Genomic DNA, 14,222 nt, shown 5'->3' on the forward strand with positions numbered 1-14,222 from the left:
TCACACATATGTGTATCTAAGATCCATGTTCATCAAAAGTACAGCTGGTTCTTTCCTGTTCTATCTGCAAGGCAGACAATCGCATGGGCAATAAATACCCCAAATCAAATTCTCTACCCTTGACACCCCCTCCTTCAGCCTATAAACCTAATTTCACCACCACAAAAGTCACGCAGGGCATCAAGTAAACTTGAGGGGATAGGCCAGTGTCCCACTGTGAAAAGCTGTTCAGATCCACCCACACTTTCTTCTGTCTGGTCAAGGCTTAGATTTCCCCCCAAAAGCACAGGACATCTGCAAGGTAGAACCTTCAGATGAGAATAATGCTGAAAGGTTTGGAGGCACAAAACATCATGGCCACACAAAAGTCCTATCTTCCACAAACCAAGTCATTCTAAAGCTGTCTAGGTATGACCTAAGCCACATCCAAAGAACAGCTCCTTGGCAATTCACTGCCCTAGGGGAAAAAAAAGTCTTAAACATAATTTAGTCTTCTCTTTTTGAGGAGTTGAGGGAGGTCTAAAAATTAGCATTCAGGCATTTCCCTCTGAGAGAACAAATCATAATCATAAATCATAAACGGACCCAAGCAGAACAAACAATTTAAGTCTAAAAATCTTACATAAAATGTTGTAGGCAAAATAATCCCTTACACAGGAAAGTTTGCATGGGTAACCAGAAAAGTTAAAGGGTTACTTAGAGGAGAAATACTGTCTCAATGAAGGAAGATGCCAATGAGGGGTGGCAGAAGTCAAATACAGAATGGAGGCTTTGGGGTCACATACGGATGTCAATGCTGTGCAAGGGGAACACCACCAATGAGGGTTTCTTAACCCACATAAGGTAGAAAAGACAGAGGGAGCAAAGGATGACCTGCCAGGAGCCAGAGCAGCACAGAGCAACCAACGTGGCCCAGCAAGACAAGCTGTGCCTTGGTCTTGACAGGGAAGTGGAGGCAGGCTCAGCAGCAGGAAGGGAAACAGTGAGAAGCACGAGATCTTCTGAATCCAACTGCTCTGACAAAAGCAAAAGTGGGAGCCTTCCAGGCTGGGTAACCACACTGCAGGCCTCACTGCTGGCCAAAATGTGCATCCCATTGTCATACACGGTCACAGCACCAGGAGTAGACAAGAATCGCGGCTGGCGCCCATTTACACAGGCTCCAGAGGAGACCCAAGAACTAAAGGCTGGGCTAGAAAGTAAATGCAAATGAAGGAAGGCCCAGAGCCTATCAGGGATGAGAGGGCACAGTTTCTGCTGAGGGTCATGAGGCTGACTGACTGGTGTGGCATGGAGGTTATTTGAGGGGGTAAATGGCTATGGGAACCAGGGGAAAAAATGTACTCAGAGTTTCCATTTGTTAATAGCCTTTGCACTGGAAACTTGGCTTCTGAGCCACCAAAAATTGGGGAATGCTTTGTCATGGATGAGAGAGCTCGTTTTAAAGCAGGAAATAAGCATTTTTCTGGCCTGGGAGGTTTTGCCACTGGAGTACAAGCCAAGGATCAGTGCTGAGGATGAGATTTATAAATGATCCGGACGAGCCGAGTTCTGTGAAATTGCCAGTAAACAGGCTTTAGTGAAAGCAAGTATGCGGTATTTCCTATAGGAAAAAATAAATCACATTATCCTTCTAGGGAGAAGAGCTCAGAATTATCAGCTATGTCCCAGAAATAGAGTTTCAGATTCACTAGACTTTCACCTAAAGACAGACACAACAGAATGTAAAAACACCAGCTTTTACAAAAGTAAACAGGACACTGAAGGGTCAGTGTGGGGGAGGAAAGAACACCTGCTTGATTTTTTTAATAGATCAAGAACAGTGTCTTCAGGGTCCTGAGTACATTCTAATTTGAATAGTGGTCCTGAAGGAAAGACCACCTGGGCACGATTATTCCCAAAAATGGCTTCTGGAAACATCTGTAGCACTTCTACACAGCCAAATGATTTTCATTAGTGGTGACAGCACATTTTATAAGCATGTTTGTTTTGAAAGTGTCTTTTTAAAGTTTTGTCTTTTTAAATTTCTTACCCTATCTACAAAGTCAGGGCCTACATTCGGGGCATGCCAAGGCCCATCAGCCTCCTGGGGCCCACTAGATTATTTAGAAGCTTATATAGTCATGGAAACCAGCCGTCACAGACCACCAAGGACAGCCTCGGAAAAAGGCTCCTGTGGAGGCTCTGCCATGAATCACAAGCTCATCCAGGAGATGGGCTGCACACTGGGCGGCTCTGTGCTGGGCTGAAACAACAGTTACCCAACACAGGGGCTGCGCACCAGAGCCGGGACAGATCCCATAAGAAGCATGCTGGGAAGAAGGAAGGGCAGTGAGAGTGGTGCATAGCAGCTGATGGGGCAGGGAGGACACATGTGGCTTTCAGTTACTGGTGTTTTCAGTTGACAAAAATGAATGTCAGATGTTAGCTATTTCAACATTTTGTCATTCCCTATTATACCATCATGCGACTTGTACCAACAAAGCCATGGGACCCTGGGTAAATTAACATCTCTGAACATCAATTTCCTCTTATGTAAAACAGGGGTAACTAGTAATAGCACTTACACCTCACAGGACGATGGAGAGAATTAAGTAATATAAGTCAATAACACAGTGCCTGGCATGTAATGAGAGCTACAAATGGAAGCTATTACTATTATTGTTATCAACAAAATAACAAAGCAAACTAACCCTAAACCCCAAGCAGGCAGGGCCTGTAAACAGCAGCCAAAAGCCTTTTCAACCAGCTCTGGTCAGAGCCCCTGGGGCCATTTGCAACAGGTGCAGGGGGCAGGGGGACCACAGGCCATCAGCTGCACTATGGCCTTCCAATTCTAAAGTGAGCAGGAAGCAAGAAAGCACAAGGCCATGTTCTCCCTAGTACACCTGCTGGTTGAAAGGACATAAGGAAACTAATTAGAGGCTTTTTAGTAAGTCCTGTCTCTTTACTCCAAATCAGTTTCTTTTCCAAACACCTCCTTGGAATACACTGTCATGACCTCATCTTTTACCTCCCCCACAGCTTTTCATCATAAGCCTTTAAAAACGTTCCCTGTTTCGAAGTGGGGAGAGATGCCAGTGGGGAGGCTGCAGTGAAGAAATCATGTTCCGACAGCAACGGCAGCAGTAATGAAATATCAGTCCGATGGTTTTTTGAATGTTTGGTTAAATTAGAAAATAAAAACCAGTTTACCTGACCCTGAAGTGACTATAAACTGTTGTAATCCCAAATAAACTTCTAAATTGTCCTGAAGAACAGGGAACTGAAAACAAAGAAACAAAAACAACAAAAATTTTAAGCCATAAATGCAAGTTTTAATAGCATTTTAACATTACAACATTAACACGTAACTATGGTGTGAGGAACAGGATCAAAACCTTTTCTCTGGGAACCTTTAAATGCAGCTAAAAAGCTATGACCCCCCTTCAGTGCCCCCCAACTAGTTTCTATAATTGAAACCGCCAATTAATACACAGAATAAGAAAGAAAACGTATTAGTTCAACCCTTTTTTTAAAAAAAAAAAAAAAGCAAAGGACACTGTGGTATGACTCTTACGTTCCTAATAGAGGAGATCAAACCCTGAAATGACCTACACCTTCTAGAACTCTGAGAAGGGACCATATCTCCCTTCAAATCCAAGGGAACCTCTACCTTGAGAGAAATGTCAGCTATGCCTTATTAAGCACATGGTAAAGTGATAAGATTGGCCAAATTATTTGGAAGTCAGTTCCCTGGCTCAAGTAGCGGTCAGAACGTCATAACCGGAGCTGCATCTTTCTTTCTCAAGCTGCTACACTCACCAGTAAGATTAAAACGTGACTGGCCCCTAAGAAAGGCAGATGGCAAAGTACGAAGCTTTCCAGGAGAGAACACAAGTATAGCTGGGTCATTCAATGCAAAAGATGACCCTATGGCCAGGGGCGGTGGCTCACGCCTGTAAATCCCAGCACTCTGGGAGGCAGAGGCGGGCAGACGACGAGGTCAGGAGATCGAGACCATCCTGGCTAACACGGTGAAACCCCGTCTCCACTAAAAATACAAAAAGTTAGCTGGGTGTGGTGGTGAGCTCCTGTAGTCCCACTTACTCGGGAGGCTGAGGCAGGAGAATTGCTTGAACCCAGTAGGTGGAGGTTGCAGTGAGCCAAGATCACGCCACTGCACACTCCGGCCTGGGAGACAGCGTGAGACTCCGTCTCAAAAAAAAAAAAATTACCCTAATAACTGCCTTGCCTTGAAGAAGTGATGAATTTAATGAAATCTCTTTGAATAACACGCACCACACAGGGAAGGGAATCAATCCTTACAACTAAAGATTCCAGCACGTATAGACACACGCAGAGAAAGCTAGCAATTTGCCAAGAGCGAGCTTTACAAAGGCCAGCTTTTCAGCAATGTAACTTCTATAAGTAACAGCTCCCACTCGGCCTGGCCACTTGCAAGCTACTGATAAAGGTATTAAGGCTTTAGTCAAATTGCTATTATATCCAAGACTAAACAAGGTTCCAAAAGTTGGTTTAATATTTTGTGGAAATGTTAATATTTGTTCAGTTTGAGCATCACTTATGGTAATTATTCTGTTTTTAAAAATTACATAGAGGGGAAAGAGGGGAGAGAGAGAGAGATCCAGGGGAGTCAACCAGCCATGCTCTGTGTACAGAGAAATCGCTACACTCTCCACTCCCCCGGACAGCACATTACCAGTGTGGAGAAGGCGTGCGTGGGCAGGAGCTCCATCACTTTGGCCACCACCTCCAAGCTCTGCCGTAAGTACCGCTGCCACTCCGTCTGCTGCTGTAGGGGAAGCACAGGAGAATCAGCTCTCCCAGAATCCTCTCATCTTCCTTGCCAACCTCAAGACCACTCTCAGACATAAAATTTTGAAGAAATGGAAAATGATGGAACCAGGTTATCTGGTACTATAAAAAGGCCAAGCTAGAATTTTTTAAAAACAATGAATTAATTTCACAAAAAACTACTTCCTCAGAAAGTAAATGATCCACATAGAATAAGCTATTTTCCCCCCTTTGGGTTATAGGATACAGAGATGGAGAGCCACTTGTGAAATCACCTGTTGGAAATGATCACGCATCACCTTCTGACACGGTCCACTACTGTATCCCTATCCACATAACTGACTGACTCAGTGCCACTCAGAATGGGGTCCACAGCCAGCCAGCAAACGCATCCCCTGGTGGGCTGTCAGAGATGCAAATTCTATGGTCCTCACCCCAAGCCTCCAGAATCAGAATCTGCTTTAACAAGCTGTTCCAGTGATTCTTATCCATGGTGACATTTAAGAAGCAAGACACGTCACTCCCCTTTTGGGAGATGAGGACATTAAGGCTCACAGAAATGCCACACCCAGCCCTCCAATCTCCTCCATGCCCAAGGTTGCAGAGCTTCAAACCCAGGCCATCTGGCTCTAAGCAAAGGGCTCTCTGTAACCCAAATATGACCACCCATAAGCTCTTGACCATGCCGCAGTCACTCTTACTTTGAGAAGAGCAGCAGTTATTTGAAAAATTTTAAAGTGCCTAATGGTTTAAAAAAAAACACTGGAATTGTTTCCTTAAAGACATTTTCCTTATTAATGTTGGGCACATCAGCATCAATAAATTCAAGGCTGATTTTAAGAAGCAGAAGTTTGCATAATGTACTCCAAACAGACTTCCTTTCATTCTAGCCTTATCGGTTCAGTATCTTGCTAACGGTCTCCACAAGCATCCAGCTAGCTGTTACTGCTGCCCAGGTTGGGGAGCAGAGGTGAGGGTGCAAGGCAGGGGAGACAGAGAGGATACAGAGTTCTCACTAAACCGTTTTTCATTGTGCATATGGTTTCTCTACTTACATCTCTAGTCCACATAGATAAAAAAGCCTGTAAAACATTTTTTATGGTTAATAAGCCAAAAGGGACCAGCAGGAGATTAAAAATTTCAAATGTACGACTCAAACCAGAAGACTACTCTGGTTTCAGAACAGTCTTCGGAGCAGAGGGCTCTGGGTTCCAGGTCCCCATTCTGATTGATGTCACAACATGACAGCGACAAAAAATCAATCAGGGCATGCCGCTTACATCGTCATCCAGAGTCTCATCATCCAACTCCTCCAGCTGGGCTTGGTTGTATCTGAACTGGATTCGATTCAACACCTCTGTGAGCAGGAGCACCAGGGCATCTTCGTACCTATGTGGCAGGGAGAAATTCAACATTGAAAGGAGGCTTTCAGCTTAGAATTTGGAAAATGCCTCCTGCACTATAAAAGAAATGGTGTCTATGTTGATCACCATGGAAAAAGAGCATCGAAATTCCTGAGGCTGAGTTTATGGGTTGGTACGTGTGTGCGCCCATGGAAGAGAAGCAGAGGTATTTATTTAATGACGTACCAGGCACCATGTATCTTCCTGACAGACTGTTTATATAACAGCCTTTTTTGTCTCTGGCAATAATTTCTGTCTTAAAATATATTTTGTCTCCTATTAGTATAGTGACCCGAGCTTTCTTTTGGCTACTTTTTGCACGGAATATCTCTTTCCATCTTTTTACTTGCAATCTATTTGTATCTGAATCCAAAGTGAGTCTCTTGTAGACAACACGTCATTGGGTCGTGGCTTTAAAAAATCTGTTCTCTGCCTTTTTTAACAGGAGAATCTAATCCACTAAATGTAATGTAATTACTGATAAGGAAGGCCTCATTTTTGCCATTTTGCTATTTATTTTCTATGACTTATGTTCCTCAATTCCTCCATTCCTGCCTTCTTTTGTGTCAAACAGGTATTTTCTAGTGCTGCATTTTAAATCCCTTGTCCTTTCTTTTACTAAGTATTTTCAAGTTATGATCTTAGCAGCTGCTCTGGGGATGATAGGCACTGCATATAAATATTACCTAATTCAATGATTTCATGCTTTTAACAGCTGTGAGAAGTAAATGGTATCAATATTTTTCTGATGAGGAAACAACAATTAACAGAAGTTAAATAAACTGCCCAAGGCCACAAAGCTATTTCGAACCTAGGGCCCCCTAATTCAAAATCATGTTCTCGCTACACATAAATCACCAATGAAGTGTTTTGTTTTGTTTTGTTTTGTTTTTGTTTTTGGAGACAGAGTCTCCTCTGTCACCCAGGCTGAAGTGCAACGGCGCAATCTTGGCTCACTCCAACCTCCGCCTCCCCAGGTTCAGTGATTCTCATGCCTCAGCCTCCCGAGTGGCTGGGATTACAGGCATGACCCACTAGGTCTGGCTAATTTTTGTATTTTTAGTAGAGACAGGATTTCGCCATGTTGGCCAGATTGGTCTTGAAATCCCGACCTCAGATGATCCACCTGCCTCGACCTCCCAAAGTGTCAGGATTACAGGCGTGATCCCGCGCCCAGCACCAATGGGTTTTAAGCCTGCTCCACCCAACTCCCAAAACCTAATCTTTAGTCCATTTTAAGAAGACTTAGAAACTAAAAAGAGCCTGGGGAAACCCTGACCCTTTGATTTGTGTCTAAGAATAATTTCTCAAAGAAATACTCAGAGCGGTAGGTTTGGATATTTCCCACATGTAATAAGAACCCAACTCAGAAGATACCAAGTTATAAGCAACAATTGCTACCACAAGGACCAACAAACTGCTCATTTTCAAGAACAAATCATGTTGCCTAAATACTCGCCTATCCTGAAACGCTTCTAAGATAAGTTAAGGGACTGCTCCCATTCACAGAGCAAACCACCAGTGCTGGTTAGTAAGCTCTCCACATCAATCTGCTCTCCAAAGCTATGATGCTGGGGCTGAGACTCAAAGGACACTTTGTTTCGGTCTGTTAGGTTCTGCCAGCAGGGACACTGGAGGGAGACTGGAAGGCAGAAGGGACAAAAGGACTGCATCCTTCCTGTGGGCTTGCTGTCCTGGCAGTGCTGCCCCAGCAACAGACACCTGGCAGAAGCAACTGGTTCCGGTTTCCAGCTTCATTCCACATTCCCAGAACTAGTATCGTGCACCCTCAGAGGTGGAGGCAACACCCTCTCCTCAAAGGAATGGTCCCAGTTCGAAAAGATCCCTCCTCTGAACTCCTGTGGCAGCTAGATGGGGCCCTCTCTTCAGAGATCTGAACCCTAGTTGCTCAGGGACCAAGCAGTGATCTTCCAGATTTTGACAGCCCCAGCTTCTTGCCTTTGTACTTCTAGCCTTAGGGGTGAAGCCACTTCCTGTACTTATCAACTGTGTTATCTCAGTGTTTCCTCTGAAACCTATTTAATCAATTTCCTAAAATGAATTTTCTGTTCAAATAATTAAGTATGGTTTCTGATTTCCTGACAGGACTCTAATACACCACCCAATCTAATACAGTTGAGTACTGGGACAACATGATAACCAAAGTTAAAAGATATCCAATACCAAGACCAAATACAGTCCATTTAGTCCAGGAGGTACAGCCCATGTGATGAGAATCAGTCTACAGACCACTTACAAATCCTCCTGGATTGTCCCATTTCAGATTTTGGTGACCAGAGTATCTTTTTTTTTTTTAACTTAAAAATTTAACCTATGCCAAAATTGACATTTGTATTTATTTACTTATTTTTTAACATAATTTCAACTTTTATGTTAGATTCAGGGGATACATGTACAGACTGGTTACCGGAGTATACTGCGTGATGCTGAGGTTTGAGGTATAACTGATCTCCTCACCCAGGCACTGAGCATAGTACCCAATAGCTTTTCAGCCCCTGCCCTCCTCCCCACTCCCTCTCTATCAGTCTCCAGTGTCTGTTGTTGCCATCCTATGTCCACGAGCACCCACTATTTAGCTCCCGACAGCTCGTTTCTTAACTAGAGACAGAGACACTCCCTACTTGCCCATATCCAGCAATGACTCCCCAACTGTATGCAAACGACTTAACAACCTAACACACGCCAGCCCTAAAGTAGACTAGCAACTGAACAGGGCCCAGGAAAGAATGCCGGCAGGGAAAAAGGCACTAATAAAATCTGCAACGTCTGTGGGAAAATTCACCCAATAAAGTCAAAATCCCACTTAGTAAACTCCATAGAAAGGTAAGATCAAACATTTAGGCCTAGAGTTTATGTTTTTGCCTTTGTTCAAGACATAAATTTCTAAAGTTACAGAAGTTCCACACTATAAATTGCTGTGACAGATCAAAATATTTCCACAATTCTCCTAGGAAAGAAAATCTACTTCAGACCAGAGGACAGATGAATTTTGTCATCTATAAATTGTCTTGCTGTGCTAAAAGGAAATTTAGAGACTTTCTATGCAAATGTAACCCTAAATTAGACCTAAAATCTTAACTGGCAATTGGCAACTCTGGCTGCAAAAAAAACCCGTATCGCTTAGAAAATTAAGTCCAAGTAGGAACCAGGCAAACATGCACATAGATCACTGATCTCCCAAAGTGTCATGTGGGAGGTGGAGAAAGTATATGGCTGTGGCAGACACTCTGGTTGCCTGCCCAATACCCATTCTCCTTCCTCAGCAAGAGAGCACTGGGTATTGAGGCCAACTCAAGGACAACATCTCCCCTGAAGATGGGGGCGGTCAACGAGAGCCTAAAAGCAGCTACTGGGTGGGACTTCTAAGAAAGCTTCTTTTGCCCAACCTATCCCACTTCTCGTTCCTACTGCCTGAATCATGGGTATGATGTCTGTAGCATCATCCAGCATCCATCTCTGACCATAAGATGATGATGGAGAGGGAAGCCACGCCTAATGGTAGAACAAATAAGTAAGAGGATTCAAAAAATTACTTGCTACTCAAAGAGACACAACTTCTCAAGGAGAAGACAATCGACAGATGCCAACCTCAAGATGACAAAGGTGTTGGAATTATCGATGACTCTAAAACAGCTATAATAACAATGCTCCATGAGGTTCCTCTATGGTCTGAATTGTGCGACTCTTCCCCCAAAAAGTACTCATTCATATATTGAAGCCTAACCCTCAATGTGTCTGTATTTGAAGACAGGGCCTATAAAAAGGTAATAAAGTTATGTGAGGTCAAAGAGTAGGGCCTTAATCCAATAGGACTGTTGCCCTTATGAGAAGATGAAGAGACACAAGGGTTCTCTCCCTCCCTTTCCTCACATGCACACAAGAAAGGCCACGTGAGCATTCAGAGAGAAGGCGCCATCTGCAAGCTACCAAGAGAGCTCACAGAAACAGAATCTGCCAGCATCTTGAAGTGGAACTTCTAGACTCCAAAACTAAGAGAAAATAAATTTCTGTTGTTTAAGGCCAGCCTGTGGTATTTTGTTATGGTAGCCCAATCTAACTAATAGAGAAGGTAAACAATATGAGAAAGAAACCTGGAACTTCAAGAAGGAAGGAAAAGCAAGAGAAATGGCAATGTCTGGGTAAATCTAATAGACTACTTCTTTCTTCTTAAGAGCTATAAAATATGAATGATGGGTACGTGTATAAATTAGAACACTGTCTGGTGGGGTTTTCCAAGTATGTATATGTAAAACCTCAATATAAAGAAGAGAGGCTAAAGGACTCTAATCTATATGGTGGTAAGGTTTCCATACCACCCTTGTGGTAAAATGTGACTCTGAAAAGTTAAGTATATATACTGTAATACCCAGAGCAACCACCAAAAAAACCCACATAAAGAAATGTGGTCCAACACTCAATAGACACACTGGAAAAGAAAACTAAATGTGTATGCAACTAACAGAGTCTCAAAATAAATGAAGCAAAAACTGATCAAACTAAAAGGAGACAGACAAATCCAAAATTATTTTTGGAGAATTCACCCCCCTCTCAGTAACTGATAGAATAAGTAGGATAAAGACAACATGTACAGGCTGGGCGCAGTGGCTCACGCCTGTAATCCCAGCACTTTGGGAGGCCAAGGCAGGCGGATCACCTGAGGTCAGGAGTTCCAGACCAGCCTGGCCAACGTGGCAAAACCCTGTCTCTACTAAAAATACAAAAATTAGCCAGGCGTGGTGGCGGGCACCTGTAATCCCAGCTACTTGGGAGGCTGAGGCAGGAGAATCGCTTGAACCTGGGAGGTGGAGGTTGCAGTGAGCCGAGATCACACCATTGCACTCCAGCCTGGGTGACAGAGCAAGACCCCATCTCAAAAAAAAAAAAAAAAAGACATGTACAAATTAAACTAGAAAACAATAACAAAAAGGTATATGGAAAATCCCCAAATATTCGGAAACTAAACAGGAAATCTCCAAAGAAATTAGAAAATATTTTAAATCAAATGAAAATTAAAATGTAACATTAAAATTTGAAGGATAGCCGGGCGTGGTGGCTCACGCCTGTAATCCCAGCACTTTGGGAGGCCAAGGCGGGCGGATCACAAGGTCATGAGATTGAGACCAACCTGACCAACATGGTGAAACCCTGTCTCTACTGAAAATACAAAAATTAGCTGAGTGTGGTGGTTTGTGCCTGTAATCCCAGCTACTCGGGAGGCTGGGGCAGGAGAATTGCTTGAACCCGGGAAGCAGAGGTTGCAGTGAGCCAAGATCACGCCACTGCACTCCAGCCTGGTGACAGAGTGAGACCCCGTCTCAAAAAAAAAAAAAAAAATTTTTTTTGAGGGATAAAGCTAAAGCAGGGCTTAGAAGGAAATTTACAGCATTAAATGCTTATATACACCACAGAGATAAGCCTATAAGCCTCAAGTTCTGAGAGTTAAATAAAATTATACATGTTAAGGCAACTACATAGTAGGTGCTCAATAAAATATATATGAATAAAGAACAAATGAACAAAGAAATGAATGAAAAACACACAGGTGATAAACAGACAAAATTCCAAGTCAGGTAAATACAAAGGATTGAAGCATATTCCTGGATAGCTTTTTCAACTCAATAAAGCAACTAAGACTCTATTCACTTGCCCTGTGGGGCAGTCAAGAGCAAGAACTAGAAAGCTGCTAGAGCTCTGATCTAAACCTAGTTCACACCTTTATTGCACCACAATGTCATGTGTAACAGTGGCACTTCCTCTTTATTAAGCAGGTTCACCCACTCCAAAAAGCAAGGAGCAGTTTTTCTCACCCTCACTCACATTTGTTTACAGTCCTATCTAATGTCACCAGAATCCCTACGTTGGTTTGTGGCCAGCACTTGCCAGAAGTCTAGTCACAAAGAGGCTCACAGAACATGACACAATGACTTTAGGTTGCTTCACACACTCAGGTTTCTTCACCTTCCTGTAAAAATAAGTTTCTACACAGGTGACTCCCTTCACATTGACAAGCACAAAGAGCCGGAAGTGAGAGAGAAAGGGGAGGTGAACCAATGCTTATTTGCTGAGCACCTACTGTCAGCCAAGGCACTTTACGCTCATTAGTTCATCCCACTTTCTCAACAATCTGTGAGGAAGGCACAACCATCCAAAAGCACAAACAAGGAAAGGGAAAGGAAAATCCGGGCCTTTCCATGCCACCACCTCAAAATACAGATCAGGATGATCTACCCCATCGGCCATTCCACTCTGCAGGAATGGCTACAGAACATTTACCCCATTAACACTGGGGCTCAGGCTCTCTCAAGTCCCCACAGTCTCTCATCAAGAAATTCCTCTCACACCTGTAATCCCAGCACTTTGGGAGGCCGAGGCGGGTGGATCATGAGGTCAGGAGATCGAGACCACCCTGGCTAACACGGTGAAACCCCGTCTCTAATAAAAATACAAAAAATTAGCCGGGCGTGGTGGCGGGCACCTGTAGTCCCAGCTACTCGGAAGGCTGAGGCAGGAGAATGGTGTAAACCCAGGAGGCGGAGCTTGCAGCGAGCCAAGATCGCGCCACTGCGCTCCTGACCAGGCAAGTGAGCATGCAGAGCTCCAATTTCCAAGCTCCTAGGACCAAAAATAAATCTATGTATATTTGTGCTTCTAAATTTGTAGCCTACAATGCTTACCACTTTGTTGTGATGAATGATGCAAAACCTTTAAACCACAGGGGACAGGAAATGAGTGCTGCCTTTGTGACTTAACCACACCTACATTTCCCATTTAAGACAGCAAGAAAACATTTTTGACTACTTCCTGCAAGATTAGTTGCTTCTGAAATATGATTCCAGAACATCCCAACTTCTCTCTGGTATATTTTATCAGTTGACAAACATTTGATCACATGTGCATGCTCTTAGTTAACATAAATGTGGTCATCACCAGAAGCCAGTGTTCTTCAGCAGCTGCTCCTGCAAAACAGCATATCTCTGATATATTAAGAGTCTCTCATAGTCTGGAGTGGTGAATGTTAAGGGTTACAGAAAAAATTATAAGCTGAAGTTGAAATATTTTCTTTGTGCAGCCCACTGGACTAACACATGTTCTTTGTAGTCTACTGTCTTAGACCACTAAGGGGTATCTGACAGGACATGCAGTTCCCCAGACGGTGGTTACTATTTAACAGCACTAACCAGAGGAGCTTGGAGGGGTTTTTGTTGTTGTTGTTGTTTTATTTTATTTTAGAGACAGAGTCTTGCTCTGTCGCCCAGGCTGGAGTGCAATGGCATGATCATAGCTCACTGTGGCCTCCAACTCCTGGGCTTAAGCAGTCCTCCTGCTTCAGCCTCCTGAGTAGCCGGGACTACAGGCATGCACCACCATGCCTGGATAATTTTTGTATTTTTTGTACAGACAGAGTCTTGCTATGTTGCCCAGGCTGGTCTCAAACTCCTGGGCTCAAGTGATCCTCCCACCTTGGTCCCCACAAGGAGCTGGAACTACACGTGCACACTACCATGTCTGGCTAATTTGTTTTTTAAGTTTTTGTAGAGACAGGGTCTCATTATGTAGGCCGGGCTGGTCTCAAACTCCTGCCCTCAAGTGATCCTCCTGCCTCAGTCTCCCAAAGTGCTGGGATTACAAGAATGAGCAATGGCACTTGGCCTGTTGTTTTATTTTTCAAAGGCATAAAGGCATTATATGAAAGTGTTATGTTTAAAAAAGAATAAATCATGAAAAATTAAAAAGCCTCATTTAGGATGATAATCACATGATCAATGAGAAAAATTCCCACTGTTTCAAGTGGTCAGCCAGAACAACTGACAACTGTGACATTAGACAACAGATGCCAGGGCAGGCAGGTAAACATCTGCAGGTGGGCTAAAGGCCTTTAGACTGTCCAGGGGCCATGCCACCTAACGCTACAGTCACAACCACAGTCTAAAGGCAGTAACATCTTCTATTATTCATCATTGCTGTTGTCATCACTGTGACCATTTACTGAGTGCCTAATAC

The 14,222-nt window shown here is 43.5% G+C and overlaps 1 protein-coding gene across 2 annotated transcripts in view, besides 1 other annotated feature; it reads right to left on the reverse strand.

The window, feature by feature from the left end:
- The window catches only part of XPO6 (exportin 6), a 113,990-nt gene that overhangs the window by 31,163 nt on the left and 68,605 nt on the right, over positions 1 to 14,222 (reverse strand). For both annotated transcript variants that reach the window (NM_015171.4, NM_001270940.2), the window contains 3 exons: positions 6,078 to 6,186; positions 4,703 to 4,795; positions 3,196 to 3,265 (listed from right to left, as the gene is read on the reverse strand). In NM_015171.4, coding sequence (NP_055986.1) covers positions 3,196 to 3,265; positions 4,703 to 4,795; positions 6,078 to 6,186 — 272 coding nt within the window. The remainder of the gene's footprint in view (positions 1 to 3,195; positions 3,266 to 4,702; positions 4,796 to 6,077; positions 6,187 to 14,222) is intronic.
- Positions 12,488 to 12,537: an enhancer, noted in NCBI's record as "active region_10636". NCBI's record gives its function as "activates an Ori minimal core promoter by ATAC-STARR-seq in GM12878 lymphoblastoid cells {active_cell/tissue: GM12878}" and the evidence as "EXISTENCE:reporter gene assay evidence [ECO:0000049][PMID:35858748]".

Source organism: Homo sapiens, chromosome 16 (genome assembly GCF_000001405.40).
Source record: "Homo sapiens chromosome 16, GRCh38.p14 Primary Assembly".
NCBI classification, from domain to species: domain Eukaryota; kingdom Metazoa; phylum Chordata; class Mammalia; order Primates; family Hominidae; genus Homo; species Homo sapiens.